This window comes from Homo sapiens, chromosome X (genome assembly GCF_000001405.40).
Source record: "Homo sapiens chromosome X, GRCh38.p14 Primary Assembly".
NCBI lineage: Eukaryota > Metazoa > Chordata > Mammalia > Primates > Hominidae > Homo > Homo sapiens.
This window is the reverse complement of record NC_000023.11, coordinates 26,603,584-26,609,397: the sequence shown is the minus strand read 5'-3', so window position 1 is coordinate 26,609,397 and position 5,814 is coordinate 26,603,584. Positions and strand designations below refer to the sequence as shown.

The window sequence follows — 5,814 nt, the reverse complement described above, 5'->3', positions numbered from 1 at the left end:
ACTTGGGGAGTAAGGGGGCGTACACATGTGTTGGCTCACCATCACATATCCTCCATTTCTGCCATGTTTCTCTCAGTCCTTCTTTGTCCTTCTTTCATTTCCTTGTGATAAAAAGTCCCTTATTTTTATTTACTATTTTCCATAAGGCAACATTCTTTGTGTTCATTTGCTCTTCATTCTAGTTTAGTTTGTATACATAAAATATTTTTCCTTTATGATTCTTTCTGGAGTCTTACTGCTTCTTTTGTCAAATATTCCTTTTCTCCAGTCTCCTCAATACTGAGTTATTCTGATTCTAATTCATGTTGTTCTTTCACAGCTATTATCATTATCTTAATTACTTTTAGAGTGAAATATAAGTTAATTTTTAAAAATCTAGTTTGTAGCCATGCATTTTCTTTTTTCTTTTCCTTTTTTTTTTTTTTTCCTTTTTTTGTGACAGAGTTTCGCTCTTGTCGCCCAGGCTGGAGTGCAGTGGCACGATCTTGGCTCACTGCAACCTCTGCCTCCTAGGTTCAAGCGATTCTCCTGCCGCAGCCTCCTGAGTGGCTGGGATTACAGGCACCCGCCACCACACCCAGTTAATTTTTGTATTTTTAGTAGACATGGGGTTTCGCCATGTTGGCCAGGCTGGTCTCAAACTCCTGCCCTCAAGTGGTCCACCCGTCTTGGCCTCTCAGAATGCTGGAATTACAGGCATGAGCCACCGTGCCTGGCCTGTGGCCATGCATTTTCGTTGTGCTTTAAGTGTCCATAGTGGATTCATTATTCTGATCCTCATTATCTTTTTTCTGTTAAGTAATTTTTTATTGGGTTTTCATGAGGGTCCATTTTGTTTTATTTTGTTTTTCATTTTAGAATAAAGTCTATTTTCTTGTACTTTCAAGAGAGTAAACTGGCCAGAATAACTCTTCTAACTTCACCAATCTAGAGTTAGCTGTTTGTTTTTTTTCTTTAACTATTATTTTAATTTCGGGGTACAAGTGCAGGCTTGTTACATAAGTAAACTTGTGTCACAGGGTTTTGTTGAACAGATTACTTCATCGCCCAGGTATTAAGCCTAGTACCTGTTAGTTATCTTTCCTCATCTTCTTCCTCCTCCCACCCTCCACCCTCCAATAGACCCCAGTATCTGTTGTTCCCCTCTATGTGTCCATGTGTTCTCATCATTTAGCTCCCACTTATAAGTGTGACCATGTGGTATTTGGTTTTCTCTTCCTGCATTAGTTTGTTAAAGATAATGACCTCCAGCTCCATCCACATCCCTGCAAAGAAGATGATCTTATTTTTTATGGTTGCATTAGTATTCTATGGTGTATATCTACCACATTTTCTTTATCCAGTCTACCATTGATGGGCATTTAGTTTGATTCCATGTCTTTGCTCTTGCAAATACTGCTGCAATGGGCATACACATGCATGTGACTTAAAAATAGAATGATTTATATTCCTCTGGGCATATACCCAGTAATGGGATTGCTGGGTTGAATGGTATTTCTGTCTTTAGGTCTTTGAAGAATAGCCACACTGTCTTTCATAATGGCTGAATTTACACTCCAACCAACAGTGTGTAAATGTTCCTTTTTCCCCAAAACCTCACCAGAATCTGTTATTGTTATTATTATTGTTATTATTTTACTTTTTTAATAATAGCTATTTTGACTGGTATGAGATGGTATCTCATTGTGGTTTTGATTTGCATTTGTCTAATGATGAGATGATGTTGAGCTTTTTTCATATGATTGTTGGCTGCATGTATGTCTTCTTTTGAAAAGCATCTGTTCATGTCCTTTGCTCACTTTTTGATGGGGTTGTTTTTTTCTTGTAAATTTGTTTAAGTTCCTTATAGATGCTGGATATTAGACCTTTGTTGGATGCATAGTTTTCTAAAACTTTCTCCCATTCTGTAGGTTGTCTGTTCACTCTGTTGATAGTTTGTTTTGCTGTGCAGAAGCTTTTTAGTTTTATTAGATCACATTTGTCAATTTTTGCTTTTGTTGCAATTGCTTTTGGCAACTTTGTCACAAAATCCTTGTCCATTCCTATGTCCAGAATGGTATTACCTAGGTTATCTTCCAGGGTTTTCAAACTTTTGGCTTTTACATTTAAGTCTTTAACCCATCTTGAGTTAATTTTTGTGTACGGTATAAGGAAGGGGTCAACTTTCAATCTTCTGCATATGAGCAGCCAGTTTTTCCAGCACCATTTATTCAACAGGGAATTCTTTTCCCATTGATCATTTTTGTCAGGTTTTTGGAAGATTCAATAGTTGCAGATGTGCAGTTTTATTTCTGTGCTATCTATTCTGTTTCATTGGTCTATGTGTCTGTTCTTCTACCAGTGAGTTTGTTCTTCCATTGTTTTCATGAATTAAATATAAATCCTGGTTCATATACACTGAGATCTGCTTCCTCTGTTCCACTCTTTAAATCTTAAATTTTATTTGAACTTTCTATTTTCTTTGCCTGTATTGCTCCTGTATGCCTCAATTTGGATTATGCAAACAGCAATTTCTCTTCAGTTATGAAGTTTGTTCTGGGAGAAAGTTTATTTGTTCATCTAAGCAGTTGACAGTGTCCACAATACTGCAACACCTTTATTTCTTACCTCAGTTCTTTTGCACTTAGTCATACAATCATGGATGTGGAAATATAAATAAATACATAACACATATGATCTTGATCCCTTTCATTATACCTAGCCTTTTATTACTATACCAATAAAGTAAAAATGTTTTAAAGACAACCTTATTAATAGCCTGTTTAAGACATTGCATACTGAATTTAGGGATTCAACTAATTCTTAAGGGTCTAAGTGTTATTTAATATTTGAAATTTATAATTTTAAAAGGTCTTATAAATATTCTCATTAAAAAGCTAAATGGCTCTTGTCTCAGCCATATTTATTAAGGACTCCAAATTTTGATAATTTAGGTAACTATATTGAAGAGTCAAAATCAAGTGTGATAAAATTCAATTATCTTATGCACATATTGATATTATCTCCTAAGGAATCCTTCTGAAAAAGTTCCAACCAGAAATAGGAAGTCTGAAAATTGCTATTTAAAGGTAAAAATAAATAACTAGGTAATTTTCTGGATTGAGGATATGTATGCCATGGGTAGAGGGTCCAGAGGAAAGAAAGGTGGCAAGAGAGTAGTCTTTCATGACTTTATAGTTATATTTGAACTGAAACTTACCCTGCCCAAATATTTTTTAGAAGAAAATAAGTGGAATGTCTTAATAGTCCATAAAATAATTCTTCTTGGTAAAATAACACTTTGGTTTCAAAGAACAAGTGTTATTTGTATTGTTTTATTATTTATTTCCTTTTTGGTATACCTTAATAACATGCATTATTCACAGATATTTCGGAATGTTTCAGGAAGTTAGTGGCTTAATTTCCACAATGTTTCTGCAATGATTCTGGTAAGGAAATGGCCTTATCACTCTTTTTAAATCATAAAGATTCAGGCTATCTCTCTTCTCCTAGGTGTAAAAGAGTAGGTATGCTTAAGGGGCTACAAAGGGGACTGTAAGATATTTTAGAGAATCTAGCAGAGGTGAAAAGCCTAGTTGTAGTACCATTAATTGGTAAGTTCAAGGTATGCATTTTTGGTATATCTTTTAAACAAAAATTACTTAAAAGTAATTCCATACTTCACAGTATATATTCCATAAGCAAGTCCACAAAGCAGCCATATTTAGATATAGGCAAATAAATATACACTTTTTTTCTGAATGTGATGTTAAAAAATAATTACGGATATTTTCTACTTATTAAAATGATACATCCTTACAAAGTATAAATTAAATAAAAAGAATACAAATCTAAATATTTCTCCATCGAGATAGCTTATCCTGTGAACAAATGATTTAAACATCAAAAAAAGTGCTCTTACAAATGTTAATTGTAGCATAGTTAGTGAATATTGCATATTTGCTCCCTTTAAACCTAGGCCTACTAAGTGCTATGTTGTGATGTAATGTGAATATTCAAGTACTTTAAGTAGATCAGTTAGCCTTCATGAGTTAAAATATGTATTTAGAACATTTTATGGATTTAAAAAATAAGAACTATAGGTAATTTATAAGCAAAAACACATTTGTTACCATGACTCCTTATGTTCCACCTGGAGTATTCCCTCACAGGGCTCCTTTGAAAGAATAAATACCAATCAAATACTTTATTGTTCTCCTACATATGTCCCTAAATGAGAAGTATGGAAAGTTACATGAAATACTCAGAAGACCAGGCTATCGTGACAGCCCTGAGGAAAAGAACAGTAAAATAAAGTTCAACCTATCAACAAAATTATAGCGCTGCATATATTCAGTCTTTAATCTCTCCAGAGCTAATTCTACAATTAAGGTAACTAATAGCGGCCAACAATTTGAACTTGGAAGAATGAAGAAATCATATTGAGAAAAAATATACCTTCACTTGTCCAAACTACACTTAACTGTTTTGTTCTTTTAGACAAGTTCAGATGGGAACCAAAGTCGTGTAAGAAACATATCCTAAGAGCTAAATCAAGCTGCCTTACTCTCAAGAAAAACAAAATCCAGTGGGTGGTTAACTAGATACTTCTAGAAGACAAAATAGCCACTGAGGAGCAAATTTTAAAGAATTAAATTAGAATCCCAGCAATTGGGATGCCAAGGCAGGTGGATCATTTGAGGTCAGGAGTTTGAGACTACCCTGGCCAACATGGTAAAACCCCAACTCTACTAAAAATACAAAAAAAAAAAAAAATTACCTGGGTGTGGTGGTGCCTGCCTGTAATCCCAGCTCCTTGGGAGGCTGAGGCAGGAGAATTGCTTGAACCCAGGAGGCGGAGGTTCCAGTGAGCCGAGATTAAGCCACTGCACTCCAGCCTGGGAGACAGAGCGAGACTCCATCAAAAAAAAAAAATTAAATTAGAAGTTCATGCAAGCCAAATTAGTTAGATAATGATTATTAGCAAACATTTAAACATTCTCAGGCAAGTCTAGCATGGCTTATCCCAATTTGGACAATGCATATACCCCAGGTGTGCTGTAATTAGAATACAAAAATCCATATTATGCAATTTCATTTTAAATATATTTATTCACTTGTTTATTTAATCCCTTCATTCTACAAATATCTGTTGAGTGTTGACCACATTCCTGGCACTTTGTATACTTGCTGCTAAAATCACAAAGGAAACAACATGGTCTAACCATGAGCATCAAACCAGCTTACCTAATTGTAATAACATTGAGGCCTACTGGTGAGTGTCAGCCCAATGCCTGGATGTCAGAAGCTGCTTTTTTCTTTCTGAAATGTTTGATATATTAACAAGGCCAGTGGTTGGATTTCAGTAAGTAAAGAGAGAGTAGCAGAATATAATGTCAGGGAGTCTCAGAGGACCAAATTATGTAGAACCTTGTAAGGTGAGAAGCTTGTTTGTTTGTTTTTGACAGGGTCTCACTCTGTTGCCCAGGCTGGAGTTCAGTATGTGATCTCGGCTCACTGCAGCCTTGACCTCTTGGGCTCAAGCGATCCTCCCACCTCAGTGTCCTGGGTAACAGACTGCAGGCACGCACCACTATGCCTGGTTAATTTTCTGTATTTTTTTGTAGAGACAGGGTTTCACCATGTTGGCCAGGCTGGTAATCCTGGGCTCAAGTAATCTACCCTCCTCAGCCTCCCAAAAAGCTGGGATTACAAATCTGAGTCACCGTGCTCAGCTGAGTTTTGCTTTTATTCTGAAAGAAACAATGGGACTTTAGGAAGAAAAGGCTTGTTAAGTAGGGGAATACTGGGAACTCAGTTTTCAACAGGTTAAGT

The 5,814-nt window shown here is 35.7% G+C and overlaps 1 annotated feature.

Annotated features, from left to right (window-relative positions):
• Positions 4,610 to 4,836: a silencer, noted in NCBI's record as "fragment chrX:26622679-26622905 (GRCh37/hg19 assembly coordinates)". NCBI's record gives its function as "represses an EF-1alpha promoter that drives an FKBP-Casp9 reporter gene in an ReSE screen in K562 erythroleukemia cells {active_cell/tissue: K562}" and the evidence as "EXISTENCE:reporter gene assay evidence [ECO:0000049][PMID:32094911]".